The sequence below is a fragment of the Homo sapiens genome, chromosome 7 (assembly GCF_000001405.40).
Source record: "Homo sapiens chromosome 7, GRCh38.p14 Primary Assembly".
Lineage (NCBI taxonomy): Eukaryota > Metazoa > Chordata > Mammalia > Primates > Hominidae > Homo > Homo sapiens.
The window spans coordinates 47,543,128-47,560,017 of NC_000007.14; the positions used below are offsets into that span (position 1 = coordinate 47,543,128).

At 50.3% G+C, this 16,890-nt stretch overlaps 1 protein-coding gene across 13 annotated transcripts in view, besides 2 other annotated features; it reads right to left on the bottom strand.

The window, feature by feature from the left end:
- TNS3 (tensin 3) overlaps positions 1-16,890 on the bottom strand; it is a 307,433-nt gene that overhangs the window by 267,974 nt on the left and 22,569 nt on the right. For 4 of the 13 annotated variants that reach the window (XM_047420724.1, XM_047420725.1, XM_047420723.1 and 1 more), the window contains one exon: positions 13,910-14,023. The exons of 8 other annotated variants lie outside the window; for them this stretch is intronic. In XM_047420724.1, coding sequence (XP_047276680.1) covers positions 13,910-14,023 — 114 coding nt within the window. Of the gene's footprint in view, positions 1-3,144; positions 3,778-13,909; positions 14,024-16,890 lie in introns of those variants that run through there. One more of the 13 variants, XM_047420735.1, reaches the window with a different exon arrangement.
- Positions 13,207-13,935: an enhancer, noted in NCBI's record as "H3K27ac-H3K4me1 hESC enhancer chr7:47595932-47596660 (GRCh37/hg19 assembly coordinates)". NCBI's record gives its function as "activates a minimal SCP1, AML or CMV promoter by ChIP-STARR-seq in naive H9 embryonic stem cells {active_cell/tissue: H9 hESC(naive)}" and the evidence as "EXISTENCE:reporter gene assay evidence [ECO:0000049][PMID:30033119]".
- Positions 14,664-15,391: an enhancer, noted in NCBI's record as "NANOG-H3K27ac-H3K4me1 hESC enhancer chr7:47597389-47598116 (GRCh37/hg19 assembly coordinates)". NCBI's record gives its function as "activates a minimal SCP1, AML or CMV promoter by ChIP-STARR-seq in naive H9 embryonic stem cells {active_cell/tissue: H9 hESC(naive)}" and the evidence as "EXISTENCE:reporter gene assay evidence [ECO:0000049][PMID:30033119]".

Below are 16,890 nucleotides of genomic sequence, written 5' to 3' on the forward strand. Positions count from 1 at the left end.
TGGGCCCTGTCCAAACACAGACTTTGGGAAAATCCTCCCTTTTGTCTCTTTCCCTGTGCAGCCAGCTTGTGCTCCATCCGAAATCCAGAAGGGACAGTGTAACAGTGTGCCTCCCAGGGCACTCACCCTCTGGGACATTCAGGAAGTGTTCAGGCACACTTGCATCTCACCTATCCAGCAAACATCTTCACACCTGTTCCCCAGGGCCATGCTGGAGGGGGAAGACCAGCAGAGGACTTTCGGTACGTCAAGTCCCAGGGGCTCAGGATATGTGCATGGGGCACCTGAAAGACTGGAGAGGTGGGGAGCTGACTTCCAGTCCCTGCGGTGAGGGGGCTTTCGCCCAGGCTCTTAGTGACCCAGCGACATCCTAGGAGACAAGGAGTCCAACTCCCAGAGTGGTATTAATGATCAAAGATGCCATTTGTGAAGTGCCTGACCCTCAAGATGGTCCAAAGCTGGAGTTACCCACTCGGGTGGAAGCAGGACTTGAAAGCAGTACTGCTTTGTCCTTTACACAACACTGTTTCTCATGAAAATCACAGACACTCAGTAGATAACGTGATGAATGAGAGTCCACTGGCCACAGAGGAGAGTGTATTTATTCCACCAGGTTAACCAAAACGTCTCCATTGGCTACAAAGTTCCCGGGCACGCAGCCTGTCCCCACCCATGGGAGTCCCCTGGGGTGTGCAGGCTGTCAATGAAATGTCATTCTGCGACTGCCACACTTCAGGGCTTCTTCTGACAAACAGATGGTGACTTCTGACATCCTTTGCATGGTGTTTTTGCCCGCCCTGGGGAAACCAGCATTTGTTTCCCTCTGCTCTGACTCGTCACAGAGTTCCTTCCCCCTGACTTTGAGAAGTAAATAAAAAATGCTTTCCTTACAAAATTCCCCTCCAGTGGGTGCTTCTTCCCTCTTCTCTGCTCAAAACAGAGCTGTTTCATTACAGACTGTGCACAGGAGAGCAAAAGAAAGTGTTAAATTAAGGTGGCTCTCCCCAGCCCCCTCCAGCTAAGTCCCTGGTAGGATCTCGCCCCCTTCCCTCCCTTCAGAGGAGCAGGAAGAGTCAGAGGCTGGTGCCAAGAGGAGCATCTTCCTTCCTTCACCTATCCATGGGTCGGGGGTGGGGGTGCCCAGCCCAAAAGATAAACAAGGGCCCACCTGTCTCCACCTCTCACAAGCACGGAGCACACCTTTCTCATGGTAAAACGGACCCCCACAGCTACGGGCTCTCTGTGTGCCTCCAAAATCCATATGTTGAAATCCTCACCCACGAGGTGACGATATTAGGAGGTGAGGCCTTTGGGAGGTGCTTAGGTCATGAGGGGAGACTCTGCATGAATGGGGTTAATGCCTTTAAGAAAGGGACCCCACAAGACCCTTCACCCATTCTGCCATGGGAGGACACAGATAGAAGGTGCCTTGGATGAACCAGGAGCCAGCCCTCACCAGACAATCTGCCAGAGCCTTGATCTTGGACTTCCAGCCTCCAACTGTGATAGCTTCCAGAACTGCCTGAGGTCGCAGAGCTAAATAACCACAAGCCCAAGTCCCCAGGTCCAGCTTACAGACCTACTGCTACCAATGGGTGTCCCAGGACCCAGGCACGGATCAGTAGGCATCCCAGCACTTCCAACAAGCCAGTTTCCTCCTGTCAAATGAGCTGCCCCACCTATTCTAACCGAAAATGAGAACATAGGAAACTGTCTAGTTAATAGGTGCCCTGTGCTGAGGACATCATGATTTACTTTTCCACTCCTTGCCAAGCATTTCTTCACCATCAAGTTGACTCCAAGCAGAAGAACCCTGCAGAGTTAGTTGTACGAAAAGCCTGGAGATCCACGATGTTAGGACTTACTCTGCCACTTTGAGCACCTCGAACACTAAAAACGGAGAGAGGTATGTTCACTTCCTCCAGGGGGGTAAAGAAAAAGGACACAGTTGTTGGTGTTGTGCCTGGCCTTTTAAACTCTTCCGTGATAATACATTGAGATGCGTAAGAGGGCATTTTTTTTTTTTTTTTTTTGAGACGGAGTCTCGCTCTGTCGCCTGGAGTGCAGTGTGGCACAATCTCGGCTCACTGCAACGTCCACCTCCCAGGTTCAAGCGATTCTCCTGCCTCAGCCTCCCAAGTAGCTGAGACTACAGGCATGCACCACCATGCCCAGCTAATTTTTGTATTTTTAGTAGAGACAGGGTTTCACCATATTGGCCAGACTGGTCTCTTCTAGAACACTGAGGAAGAGCTAGATGGTAGTGCATGCCACTGGTCACGAAAGGGGAGGGCTTTCTACACTCCCCTCCCATAGAAATCTCTGTTACTGTTTGATGTGGACAAGGCGCCCAAGGCTCTAGGAAGTTTAACAACCTGCTCAGCTTCAAAACCTGCACCAGATCCTTAAACAGGGTGCTGACAGCAAGAGGACCCAGCCTGGTCTCCCCTCCCTTGGGGGGCTCCCATGGGAAGGCTGGGGCAGTGGGAGGCGGGTCACCCACAGATAGCCATCTCAGTTACCACTGTCCTTTCGGAAACCTCTCTAATCGACCCCCGTCCTTTCACACCTCCCCAGTTTCTTCCTGACCGAAAATGCCCCAACATTGCCTGACTTAGATCAGAAAATGACCACTGGACCACATCTGGAACTGTGGGTAATGAAGCCCTAGGGGATCCCACCTGGGGGCAGCCTGAGCAGTTCTCAGCCAACACTGCTCCTCAAATCCCCTGCAGGAGCTGGTTAAAAACATACCGACATCACACAAACTCCACCCCTACCACTTACACCACAGTCAGGGGACTCCACAGTCTTGGGGGAACCCTAGGCAGTGATATTTCTTCACAGTCTTCCCAGGAGCTCTGATTTGTAGTTGGGTTAAGAAGCACAGAGAGCCATGAGATCTGGGGATAGAGGCAGGTGCCCTGCTCTCCTGTAGCCTGGAGCCTCCCCCAGGAGGCCTGGACTGAGGTGGTCCAGAGAGCTGCGGCGGACCCCGACCCCACTCCTCTACTCACTGCCTGCGGGTTTATTATTAATTATTCTGGGCCACAGTTTCTTCATCTGCTAAAGCGGATGATCAAATTGCAACCGACCTCAAAAGCTTCTAATGAGGCGCTGAGGCTCAGACCTTAACCATCTTACCTGAGCCACTTGTCTCACGTGGCGTCCACGTCCGGCACCCCCTGGCCTCACACACAGTCACCGCACAGCAGCACTGCTGTTCCGGAGCTGGACTGAGCTCCCAGGACCTGCCGTCACCGCAGGAGAGCTCCTTCCTTACAGTCTTCCTGCGTCCCAGCCCTGTGCACATCCACTGAATAAGAGCCTGAGGAAAACCCCTCCCCAGGTGGCCCAGGACGGTGAGGTGCTGAGGCTGGGAGCCTGTGGCAATTTCTACACATCTGTTTTCAGCTTCCTAAAAGGTTCGATGTATTGCTCTTATAATTTTTTTAAATATCACTAAAGTATACTTACAGCATAGTACTCACAATCCTCTTATCCTCCTTATTTAAAAAAAAAAGTTTTTAAATGTTATTCAAGCAAAGAAAAAGGCAGTTCAAGTCCCACCTCACCACTGAAGCTTCTCATCCCATGTCTGCAGTGACAGCCATCACTGTCCACCCAGGCTAGCAGGGAACAGACATGGGCTTGCGGCATACCCCACTCATACTATAAACTACGCGTGTGCCAAGACCACGGTCTCTCAGTGTGTGCGCTCAGCACCCGCCTGGTAAGACACGGCTGTGCTCAACAGGCGCTGCGGATGGAATGACTAAAATGACAAAGACAGACGCCAGGTTTTAAGGTCACCCCCTTGACTACCACACCCCTCAGTCACGCCCTGGGCTGGGCCTTTGGAACACCCTGAGCTGTGGCCTCCTATCTGCTGCCCTTTGAGTTTCTGATTAGATGGTTTACAATTATACTGGCAGGGTTCATCTGTCCATTCATTCATTCCCGAGTTTATAGCCTAGGAGGGAGCAGAGAGAAGATAAAGCCAAGGAGGCAGTGGACCCTCCAGGGTGAGGAGGGAGGGAGGCAGTGTGTGTCGGGCTCCAGTGTAGACTGGGCCTTGACCAAAACAGGTAAGCAGAGGCTCAGGAGCAAAGGGTGGGAGTGGGGCGGAGGGCAAAGCGAAGAATTGTGTTGACTTCAACTGGACTAAGAATTAAGAGAGATAAGGGGCCTGTGTCGGGGAGTGGAAGGCAAGTGTGGGTGGGACGTGAAGGAGTAACCAGCACTCAGTGGAGCCCTGGGGACATTAGATTTGGAGGCATGCTTCTGCTGAAATTGCTGAAATTGCTGAAATTGCAGGGGGCAGCGGCACACACTGGACACGAAGACACTTTTATCAATGGGGTTCCGGGAGCTGCTCCTCCCAGACCTCTAGGTGTCCACTGTTAGTCACCAGCACAAGGTACTGGGGACAATCCTATAGTTCCATCAGATGGCCAGGTCCACATTGTGCATCTTCCCTGCATGAGGTAGGGAAGATGAAGGTCTGAGGGACAGCAAGCCAAGGTCACAGACTTCCAGGAGCCCTCAGCATGGCCCCACGTCTACGCCGCCATCCACCCCTCCACAGTCCTTTCTCATCAGTGCATAGCTGCTCTGTGCAGCAACACGCACAGGAGCTAAAGCCTCCCAACAAACCTCAGCCCAGAAGAAAATGGAGACCACTGCAGTTCACCAGCTCATGTGCATCGCTGCCAGGTGCCAAACCCAGATGCACATGCACAGCGGGCTCCAGCATTGTCCCCAGCCACCCTGGCTCTCATTCTCCAACTCCTGACGGAGTCTCACTCTGTCGCCCAGGCTGGAGTGCAGTGGCGCGATCTCAGTTCACTGCAACCTCTGCCTCCCAGGTGCAGACGTTTCTCCTGTGTCAGTCTCCCAAGTAGCTCGGACTACAGGCATGCACCATCACACCCGGCTAATTTTGTATTTTTAGTAGTGTTGAGGTTTCACCATGTTGGTCAGGCTGGCCTCGAACTCCTGACCTCAGGTGATCCACCCTCCTTGGCCTCCCAAAGTGCTGGGATTATAGGGGTGAGTCACCACCCACCCCGTCCCTCCAGCTCCTAACCTTCACGTTTTTCTTGCCTGTGCCAACTTTCCCAGTGGCATACAGCCTGCTGTAACACATCCCATCTTTGAAAACACAACCCTCCTTGAATGCCTACCCAGCCTTCCCATACCTGGCCTGTCTCTCTGCTGTTCCCCTTATAGGAAGCCTTCCTCAAAGGCTGACTATAGTCACTGCCCCTTACCCCAAGGTTCATGGGCTCCAGAATCCATGTTCAACCCATCTCACTGCAACTTTCCATAAGTCACCACCTAGCCATAGCCTGTCAGACCCAGTAAGGGACACCTGTCCCTCATTTTATTCCAATCCCAGCCGCATTTGAACACACCATCTCCTGATGCATTTTCTTCCCTGGTCGCTGTGACCCCGTGCCCTACCTCACTGGTCCTGCCTTTGCCTCCTTTGGAGGGTTTTATCCCCTTGGGTACTTCTAAGTTTCAGGGTGCCTGGGCTCCGACCTGCAGGTCCTCCCTGTGAATGCACCCCCAGGCCGGCTGTCACCCTTCCCACCACCTGTCTGCCGGCTGATGGTCCTGACCACTCCAAGCTTCTTCTCCCCTGACCTGCTGAGTCCTGAGCACCACCTGCTCCCACCTTCACTGGGCCATCCCCGAAGCACCGCTCACTTCAACCCTCCAAATAAGAACTCCCAGTTTTCTCCCCAACATGTCCTCCCTGCTGCTCGGTCTGCACAAATAGCACCACTTCCCCACACAGTCAAGTCTCAACCTTGGGGCTCCTTCTCTTTCTCTTACAGCACACAGCCAATCTGTCAGCAAGCCCTGCAAAATAAAGCCCCAAAAAGGCCCAGTTCCCCGGTCTCCACTCCCACCATCCTGGTCCACCCACCACTGAACTGACCATCTCTGTGCATCCACAGGCCAACCAAATGGAGCTTCTTAAGACAGGAATCAGGACATGACAATGTAGCACAAAACCCTCTCCAGCTTTTAGAATCTACACCCTTAAAAAATAAATAAATGAAAGTTCTTTTGGCCAGGCGCGGTGGTTCACACCTGTAATCCCAGCACTTTGGGAGGCCAAAGTGGGCAGGTCACGAGGTCAGGAGATTGAGACCATCCTGGCCAACATGGTGAAACCCTGTCTCTACTAAAAATACCAAAAAAACTTAGCCATGTGTGGTGGCGGGTGCCTGTAATCCCAGCTACTCGGGAGGCTGAGGCAGGAGAATCACTTGAACCCAGGAGGCGGAGGTTGCAGTGAGCTGAGATCACGCCACTGCACTCCAGCCCGGCAACAGAGGGAAACTCCATCTCAAAAAAAAAAGTTCTCTTCATGAGCCCACAGACCAATGTGATCTAGCCCCTGCCTGTCTCTGGCCTGCTCTCCAACCTCCTCAGCCAGGTGCTGCCTCAGGACATTGGCACTTGCTGTCCTTACAAACGGGCTCACTTCCCCCAGATCCCTGCTCAGTTTATGCCTCTCCTGCATGAGGCCCTAGGGAAAAGTCCATCCACCTTGGTCTTACAGTCATCGGGTATGAAAAACTCACCTCTAAGAGGGCATAAACTCTAGTCCATCTGTCCATCCGGTTCAGAGGGATCCCCCTGCCTAGAACACAGCTAAGGATTTGCTGAATGAATGAATGATACTCCTGATGGGCCCTGGCACACAGACCACCTACTGGCCCATTCCAGGTTTTTCATGCTCTGACCAGAACACTGCAGTATCAACTCTACCCACGTCCCCGCCCTCCCACCCCATCCCCACAACCTAGTTACTTCGTTTGGCTCTTGACAGGGGTGCCAGACCCATGCCTTGGTCTCCTCTCCCCTCTTCCATCCCTCCCACCCATCCCCACTCAGCTAAACATTGGTCCCCAAATGCAACACTGAGGTCTCCCCTGCGAGGCCTTCTCAGGGTGGATCGGGCAAGGTCTTCTGGCCCCAGGCCTCAGGGCCCCACAAAAGTTCTTACATCACAGGGAAGCCCTGCACCCTCACCCTGCCCTTCACCTATCCAAGGCCCAGACGCGAGAAGGGGTCCATGCCTGTTTGCTGAATTAATGAAGGAAGGAAGAAGGGAAATGGGAATAGAAACACGGCCCCATGGTTCCATGGCCAGCAATGTCCACAGGAAGCCTTGATGTATGGAGAGGGCTTGGTGAACTGCACAGCCCTTTGCAAAAGATAAACGCGTAGAACAAATGGGTGAGCAGCCAGACCACAGGATCCGTCCTGTAAGGCGGTAACCTTGGCTTGCTGTCCCTCTGACCTTCACCTTCCCAACCTCATGTAAGCAAGATGCTGTCCCTAGTTGTCCCACAGCAAGACAGCTAGGACCAGGAGATAGAAGCACAAAGACACATTTGCAGCAGGGTCTCAATGGGCAAGGCACATGAGAACAAAATCTCTATGTTCTCATTTCAAACACATATCACAATGGTCAATTCTCCTTCAAGGAATGTGTTCTAAGGCAATGACCATGCCTGGAAAGATCTACGTGGAAGGGCAGGGTACAGAATTATGCACAACAAAAAAGGCTGGAAGCAGTTTTAATAGCCAGCAACTGGGCTCTGGTCATTTTATGGTACTAACATAGAATGGGATTCGAATACTATGAAGTCACTAAAAATAATAATCACATCCATATTCACTTATATGGAAAACGCCCATGGGATATTAACAAAGTTACAAAACAAAACAGACCTAAGTTTTGGTCATTCCTAAACAGTCTTACCCCACTCCTGAGGAGTCATGCCACCCCAAAGAGACAGAATTTTGCTGTGGAGTGACTGAGCACATCTCCCAAGTCTGCACCCAGCCAAGGAACATGAGCTCACTCAGAAAAAGGGCAAGGAGGGGCTCAGCCTCTTGGGAGCCTGGGTGAATAGCATTCACCAGACCTGTGGGAAGCGCCAGGAAGATCTTCCTAAAACACCCGGTTCCTTCAGGAAGCATCTCCTCGGAGTGCCCCTGCTTCTTTCTCAAATGGGCAAGGTGGGCTCCCTGCTGCACAGAGGGCAGACAAGCTCTAGCACCTGAGCTCCCGGGCAGAAGGCTGGCCTGGTGTCCACTTCCTGCCGCTGGACTCGGGAACTGAGCAAAAGCAGGTGGCTAGACCCTGGGCACGTCCTGAAGGTGGAGGCCCAGTGGGGCACAGCCATGGACTGGATGGTTCTGTCTCACTCCAGGTGTTTCCTTAAGCAAATGGGGAGACCACGGAGGAGGTGGGTGAGGGCACAAAACGTCATGTGGCTGGAGCCCTGGGTGTGGCCACCTCAGGCCAAAGGGAAGGAGCTAGAGTTCCAGCATAGCCACCAGGAGCAGGGGAGCCTTTGGCTGGGTCAGGGTTCAAAACTACAGGCAAGGAGACCCCCAGTGGAATAATTCATGCCTTGGGGAGCACTTTGAAAAGTCATTGGACAGTCTACAATGAGAACTACGAAAACATTCGCACTGCAGACCCTGCTCTTTCCACACCTGTGAATCTCAACTCAGTAAGTGTCCACAGACAGGAGAGAAACAACACCCCACACAGGCAAAGTTAAGTCAGCAGACCAAGGTTCACACTGTGCACATGTGTGTTAGATAAGTAGAGAGTAAGAAGTGTGCAAATTCATGGAATGGAAGTATGGCTGTTATCACCCTAAATTCTTGCACTTGCAGAGACTGAAATAACAGGGAATGACGTCTGCTAAGGCACAGCTGGAGCGGGGCAGGGGTGGGGTGGAGAGGGAGGCTACAAAACCGTGTGTCCACCGGGAGCGATCCTTGGCCTCTCTGCAAATGCACTTCTTGTGTTGGAGTGCTTTTACAAGGAAAATGGAAACATTTAAACAGACATTGAAAAGGGGCGGCATTCTTACCCACCATATTTATCTGCATAAACCTCCCCACGCCCATCACATTCTTCTGGCACACCTAATTCATTTCTTTTTTTTTCATTATTTTTCTCCTGAGGCTATTTTGGCTGCAAGATAGATTCTAACAGAATAACAGGGATTTAACAAATAAAAGGAATGCTTAGGGATGCGTTAACAGTAATCTTGCCAAGCCAGGAAGCCGTCTAGAGCTTGGCACATGAGTGAAGGCGAGAAACAATTTGCCTGGAGAAACAAGAAGAAAAATAACAACAAAAAATCACTCTCTGCCTCCGTTGCAGAAATCAACAAGACACACACAGGCAGACAGACCTCGTTTTATTGTGCTTTGCTTTATTGAACTTTGCAGATACTCAGTTTTTTTTAACAAACTAAAGGTTTGTGGCAACCCCACGTCAGTGCCATTTTCCCAAAAGCATGAGCTCACTTCTGGTCCCTGTGTCACATTTTGGAAGCTCTCACCATATTTCAAACTTTTTCATTATTATTATATCTTTCATGGTTATTTGTGATCTGTGCTCTTTGATGTTACTATTGTAATTGTTTTGGGGTGCCATGAACCAAATCCATATAAGACTGCGAACTCAATGGATAAACGTTCTGTGTGTTCTGATGCTCTGGACTGCTCTTTCCCTCTCCTCGGACCTCCATATTCCCTGAGACACAACAACACTGAAATCAGGCCAATTAATAACCAGTAGTGTTGAAGTGAAAGGAAGAGTCACATCTCTTAAAAGCTAGAAATGAGTCAGCTTAGTGGGGAAGGCATGTGCTCAGACAGGCTAAAAGCCAGGCCTCTCATGCCAAACAGTTAGCCAAGGTGCAAATGCAAATGAAAAGTTCTTGAAGGAAATTAAAAGTGCTGCTCCAGTAAACACACCAATGATAAGAAAGCAAAACAGCCTTTTTGCTGTTACAAAGAAAGTTTGAATGGTCTGGATTAGAAGATCAAACCAGCCACCACATTCCCTTAAGCCAAAGCCTAATCCAGAGCAAGGCCCTAACTCTCTTCAATTCTATGCAGACTCAGCAAGGTGAGGAAGCGGCAGGAGAAAAGTTTGAAGCTAGCAGAGGTTGGCTCAAGAGGTTTAGGTAAACAAGCCGTCTCCATAACATAGCAGAGTAAGGTGAAGCAGCAAGTACTAATGTAGAAGCTGCCGCAAGTTATTCAGAAGATCTAGCTAAGACCATTGATGAAGGTGGCTACACTAAACAACAGATTTCAATGCAGACAAAATCAGCCTTCTATTAGAAGATGCCACCTAGGACTTTCATAGCCAGAGAGGAGAAGTCAATGTCAAGCTTCAAAGCTTCGAAGCACAGGCTAACTGTCTTGTGAGGGGCTAAGGCAACTAATGCCTGGAAGTTGAAGCAAATGCTCATTTACCATTCTGAAGATTCCAGAGTCCTGAAGAATTATGCAAAATCTATCCTCCCTGTGCTCTATAAATAGAACAGTAAAGCCTGGATGACAGAACTTCTGCATACAACATGGTTTATTGACTATTTTAAGCTCACTGTTGAGACTTACTGTTGAGCTCACTGTGGAGACACTACTGCTCAGAAAAAAAGAGATTCGTTTCAAAATATTACTACCTGTTGACAATGCAGGTGGTCATGCAGCAACTCTGACAGAGATGTACAAAGAAATGAATGTTGTTTTCATGCCTACTAACACAACATCCATTCTATGGCCCATGGATCAAGGAGTAATTTTGACTTTCAACTCTTACTTTTTTTTTTTTGAGATGAAGTCTGGCTCTTTTTGCCCAGGCTGGAGTGCAATGGTGCAATCTCGGCTAACTGCAGCCTCCGGCTCACTGCAACCTCCACCTCGAGGTTCAAGCGATTTTCCTGCCTCAGCCTCCCGAGTAGCTGGGATTACAGGAGGCTGCCACCAAGCCTGTCTAATTTTTGTATTTTTAGTAGAGACGGGGTTTCACCATGTTGGCCAGGCTGGTCTCGAACGCCTGACCTCAGGTGATCCGCCCACCTCGGCCTCCCAAAGTGCTGGGATTACAAGCGTGAGCCACTGTGCCTGGCCCTCAAGTCTTACTTTTTAAGAAATACATTTTGGGCCAGGTACAGTGGCTCACACCTGTAATCCCAGCACTTTGGGAGGCCAAGACGGGTAGATCACCTGAGGTCAGGAGTTCAAGACCTACCTGCCAACATGGTGAAACCCTGTCTCTACTAAAAATACAAAAATTAGCCAGGCATGGTGGCGGGTGCCTGTAATCCCAGCTACTCGGGAGGCCGAGACAGGAGAATTACTTGAACCCAGGAGGCAGAGGTTGCAGTGAGCTGAGATTGCGCCACTGCACTCCAGTCTGGGTGACAGAGGAAGACTCCATCTCAAAAAAAAAAACAAAAAAAAAAACAAATCTGGAAAAGATTCAACAGTCCAGATGCCTTTAAGAACATTTGTGATTCATGAGAGGAAGTCAAATTGTCAATATTAACAGGAGTTTGGAAGAAGTTGATTTCAACCCTTATGAATGATCTTGAGGGTTCAAGACTTCAGTGAAGAAAGGAGCTGCAAATGTGCTGGGAACAGCAAGAGCACTAGAACTAGACGTGGAGCCTGAAGATGTGACTGAATTGCTGCAATCGCATGATCAATCTTTAATGGATGAGAAGTTGCTTCTTATGCATAAGCAAAGAAAGTGGTTTCTTAAGATGGAATCGGGCCGAGCACGGTGGTTCACACCTGTAATCCCAGCATTTTGGGAGGCTGAGGCAGGTGGATCACAAGGTCAAGAGATGGAGACCATCCTGGCCAACATGGTGAAACCCCGTCCTACTAAAAATACAAAAATTAGCTGGGCATGGTAGTGTGCGCCTGTAATCCCAGCTACTCAGGAGGCGGAGGCAGGAGGATCGCTTGAACCCGGGAGGCAGAGGTTGCAGTGAGCCGAGATTGCGCCACTGCACTCCAGCCTGGCAACAGAGCGAGACTCTGTCTCAAAAAAAAAAGAATGGAATCTACCCTTGATAAAGAAGATGCTGTACATATTATTGAAATAACAACAAAATATTTAGAAAATTACACAAATGTGGTCGGGCGTGGTGGCTCAAGCCTGTAATCCCAGCACTTTGGGAGGCTGAGGCGGGTGGATCACCTGAGGTCAGGAGTTCCAGACTAGCCTGGCCAACACGGTGAAACCCTGTCTCTACTAAAAATACCAAAACTAGCCGGGTGTGGTGGCAGGCGCCTGTAATCCCAGCTACTTGGGAGGCTGAGGCAGGAGAATCGCTTCAACCCAGGAGGCGGAGGTTGCAGTGAGCTGAAATCATGCCAACACACTCCAGCCTGAGGGACAAGAGCAAGACTTTGTCTCAAAAAAAAAAAAAAAAGAAAGTTACACAAATGTAATTGTGTAAATGTAATAAAGCAGCAAGAGGGTTTGAAAGGACTAATTCCAATTTTGAAAAAAGTTCTACCGTGGATAAAATGCTATTAAACACCATCACATGCTACAGAGAAGTCTTTCATGAAGGAGTCAACTGACGTGGCAAACTTTATCATCGTCTTATTTTAAGGAATTGCCACAGCCACCCCAACCTTCAGTAGCTACTGATCCGTCCAAAGCCATGAACTTGTAGGCAAGACTTTCCATCAGCAAAAAGATTTTAACTTGCTGAAGGCTCAGATGATTGTTACCATTCTTTAGCAATAACGCATTTTTAAATTGACATGTACATTGTTTTTCTAGACATACTGCCATTTTCACACTTAATATAACTACAGCTTAGTATAATCAACTTTTATATGCACTGGGAAACTAAAAGATGTGTGCAACTTACTTTATCTCAATATTCATTTTATTGCAATGGTCCAGTTGGCACCAAACTGCAGTATCTCCAAAGTAAGCCTGCACACACATAATACACACATGCACATTACATGCACATAGACACATACATGTAGGTGTGCATGCATGCATGCACGGTATACATGTGTGTGTTCATGTGGACACACATACACTTGTGTACATATACATTTAGGAACGTGCACTTACATACACACATACGCATATAAACACACACAAAGGCGGAGGCAACCAGTTGGAGTTCAGTGTGTGAATCCCATGTTCAGATTCTCCTTGAACCCACATGCCCTCTTTTGTAGAATAACCCTGTTGACAATTGAGCAGTAAGAGGTTCTAGTAAACTGCAGAAGATCCTGGAGACACTTTAAAATCAAAACGTGATTTTTAAAAAATTACCTTTAGTAAAACAAGTCAGCTACTCTAAGGAGGTTCCCAGATAGATTATTTAGAGTCCTCATCCTGAGACACACTAAGGGCCAAGACCCCCTGAGCAGGGGTCTCTCCAGGCCATCTGGGGACAACTCTGCACCCCCATGAATGTGGGTGTTCTGCCTGTCCTGGGGCCCTAGGAGCCTCCGGCCTGAGTCTGGGCATCTGAAGCTCTGAGGTAGGGAACCGAGGACGACAGAGGGCCCCACATCCCTTAGGCCCAATCCACAGGCGAGCATGATTATTATTTTGTTGGTTGTTTGACTTTTCTTTCCCTAAGCCCATAATTGTGACTTCCTCCCAACAAGTTCCTCCGGTCAGTGGGTACATCTGAGTCACACTCTGGGGGCAGGGGCGAGTGAAGCTTCCCAAGCTGAGGGAAGCAAAGCAGAGGCATAACAGCTGAGATCTTCAGGGGCTGCAAAGTGCGGGCCCCAGGCCAGACGCTGCCCGCTCTCACTGGCTGGGCTGAGGGGAATGCAACCTCCCATAAACCCAAATGGCAAAACTCCACAAGTCTTTGGTACAGTGAGCATGGCATGCAAGGAAGGAATGGCACCTGGCGATTCTCAATGCAACGGTGCTGGGCAGAAGGGCAGGTTGCAGCCAAGAGGCCCTACTCCCAGCCCTCTGTCCTCCAGTCCCTGCCACCAAGCCATGCCCCCCACAGACGATAACCAGGAGCAGCGGGGGCGGGGAGCAACAGAACCTGACCTGTGCAGGGTGTGCAGGGTGCCTAGTCCCCATCTTCCACCAGTTGGTGATGCATCCGAATCCTGATCTCTGCCTGGAGCACATGAGGAGGCTCAGATCCACCTTGGACAAGTCCTGCAAATGTCCAGGGTCAGAACAATCCTTAAGACCAACAGTGCGTCTGGGAAAGTTTACAAGCGTCCTACGTAAGGGAGAGGCTGACTTTTCGTCTTTCCTCAGGGTGCAGTCACGGGTGATATGCACAGCTTTGTCAGAGGCTTTGAAAACCAGCAGCCGCCAAGGCTACTTCCACCAGAACCATCAAACCTGCCTGCAGCGAGCTCACAAATGGACCTTTCTGTCCCAACACTACTATTTAACCCAACCCTCACCCATCTAGGGGGTGCTATCTTTTAATCTTTCAAATACAGGAAAGGAAGAGTCACAATGTGGAACGAAAAAAATGGTCCTGTCCATTTCTGCAATGCCTTTCCTTGCAACACATACAGAAATCTATCTTAAGTAACAACCAGGTAAAGCACCCATATGGGTAAATAACTGAAGGTTTTATGGGAATATGACGTGGCAACTGGCAGAATACTCTCTGGGATTTTTCATCCTAGTTTGTTTTTTTAAGTGCCAACTGACTTCTCTGCCTACTAATAATTGGAGGCGCTGGGGACATTTGGAAATGTGAGGACATTTTAACCATCACCACCACTGGGGTGGCCACTAGCATGTAGTGGGAGGAGGTAGGGAGGCCACGCCATTCCTAGAGCAAACTGTCCAACAATGAATTATTCCACACCACATGCCATGAACCACGCCTTACTGGATTACATCCACAGTTCAAGAATGTGTGTCATGGAATTCTCCAGAGGAAGTCTCCAAACTGGAAGGATGGCCTCTTTTCCAGAGGGCTGCGTAGAAGGCCTGCGGTGAGCAGGCCTCGGGACATCTCTGCTGTCTGCCCATCGTCCCTCTGGCAAATGACAAATGACGAGAACTTCTGCACCACTCCCACCCCCACCAAGGAGGCCTGAGCACACGAGGCAGGCCCAGGCTGGCCCTCCACTGTCCACCCCCATGTGGGTGCTGACGCCTGTATACAGGACACTGCTTCCTGCAGGCAAGAATGAGGGAGCCCGATTCTAGCATCAGAGCCTCTTGTAGGTTCCCAACATAAAAGGAAACAGGGTATTTGCCGTCCTGATAAGAGCAAGCTACAGCAAGCCGGTGCCGAGGAGGATCAAAGAGGCTGCGCCACCTCCTAGGAATGCTTCCTCGGCCTGCATTGTTTTCTTCTTTTATTCTTACCCCAGGGCAAAAAGCAAAGCTCCCAGTCTGTGCCTCATTTCAGGCTAACTTGACACTTGGCAGAGGGTCCCACACCCTCCTCCATGCAAGAGTGGGTGCCTCCACCAACCCCAACCCCTTTGTGTCCATCAGCCCAACTTCAAAGAGGCCGACCCCAGCACCTCCCCACCCTGCAGTGGAGCACACCTGCAGGGACCAAGAAAGGCCCAGGTTTTCATTCTAAGGACTTGGGGTTCAGGCCCACCTCTCCCATCACCTACTTGCAAATTTCCACCGACTCCTGTTTCGTCGATGGAAAAACTGGGACAAAATAACCACAGCCTCCCTGGGCAGGTTTCCCACGCATGAGGAGAGGACAAGGCCCACTGCCTGGGGCCCCCCTCAGCAGAGGGTCCCAGCTCTGCCTCCCCAGGGTCCCACTCTCCCACACAGCCACCCTATGGGACATTCCTCTGTGTACACCTGCAGGAAAACCCTGCTCAGGGTCCAAGTCCAAGCCCTCCTTGGTTATGTCCAAGGCCATGAGCAGGAGGAAGCTTTGCATGACCCCCTCGAGCCCTTCCACTCACCTGGTAATGGCAAAACTGGCCGCAAATCTCCCAGAGCCGAAATCTCCCCAGAGGGAGCCCAAGGGAAAGCACTGGAAGGCAGAAGCAAATCTCGCAACGCCCGTGTATATAGACCTCCCATGTCACTCTTCCAACCCCATGTTTAATGCATATTTAAATATACAGACAGGCAGGTCGTGGTGGTTCACACCTGTAATCCCATCACTTTGGGAGGCCAAGGTGGGCGGATCATGAGATCAGGAATTTGAGACCAGTCTGGCCAATATGGTGAAACTCCATCTCTACTAAAAATACAGAAATTAGCCAGGCATGGTGACGCGCGCCTGTAGTCTCAGCTACTTGGGAGGCTGAGGCAGAAGAACTGCTTGAACCTGAGAGGTGGAGGTTGCAGTGAGCCAAGATCACGCCACTGCACTCACACCTGGGCAACAAAGCAAAACTCCATCTCACAAAAAATAAATAAATAAATAAACAGACATCAAGACACATGTTCAGATTTTTAATAATGGGAGCGGGAGAATTCTCCAAGGGACAGCAGAGGTGGCTTCACAACATTGCATCTTAGGAATGTGCCCTTGGCGAGTTCCAAGAACTTTCTGGTGCAGGGCGGTGCCTCAGCCTCGTCACATCATCTTTACGCACCCCAGGACTATGCAGAGAATGGAGAACAAGAGGCAGGGATGGGGGCTGGAAGGGGCTAAAACAAGAGCCACAGGAGCCAATCTTACGAGAGGCCAGCCCTCCTGCTCTACATCTCTGAGGCCTCCATCAAAGTTCACAGCATCCTATGGCCCCAGTCTCCCTGGGGCCCTTGTCCATCTCTGCACTCACCTCCTTCCACTCCCCCTCATTCCAGGCCCAAGCTCCACCATGCATCTTCATCAGGGCAATGGGCAGCCTGGGGACCAGGACACGCAGAGAGAGCTGCTGTAGCATAGGACAAGGAAACCCTGGCCTTCACATTCGGCGGTCGAGCAGCCCTGATGATCTGATGAAGCTACAAACCCTGAGAACAATCCACACACACTACACCTAGCATGAAGGGATTCACGATGCTGCTGAGGGCCACTGGGGCCCCAAGGTAGGAAGCTGGGTCTACACCACCTGCTCCACCCC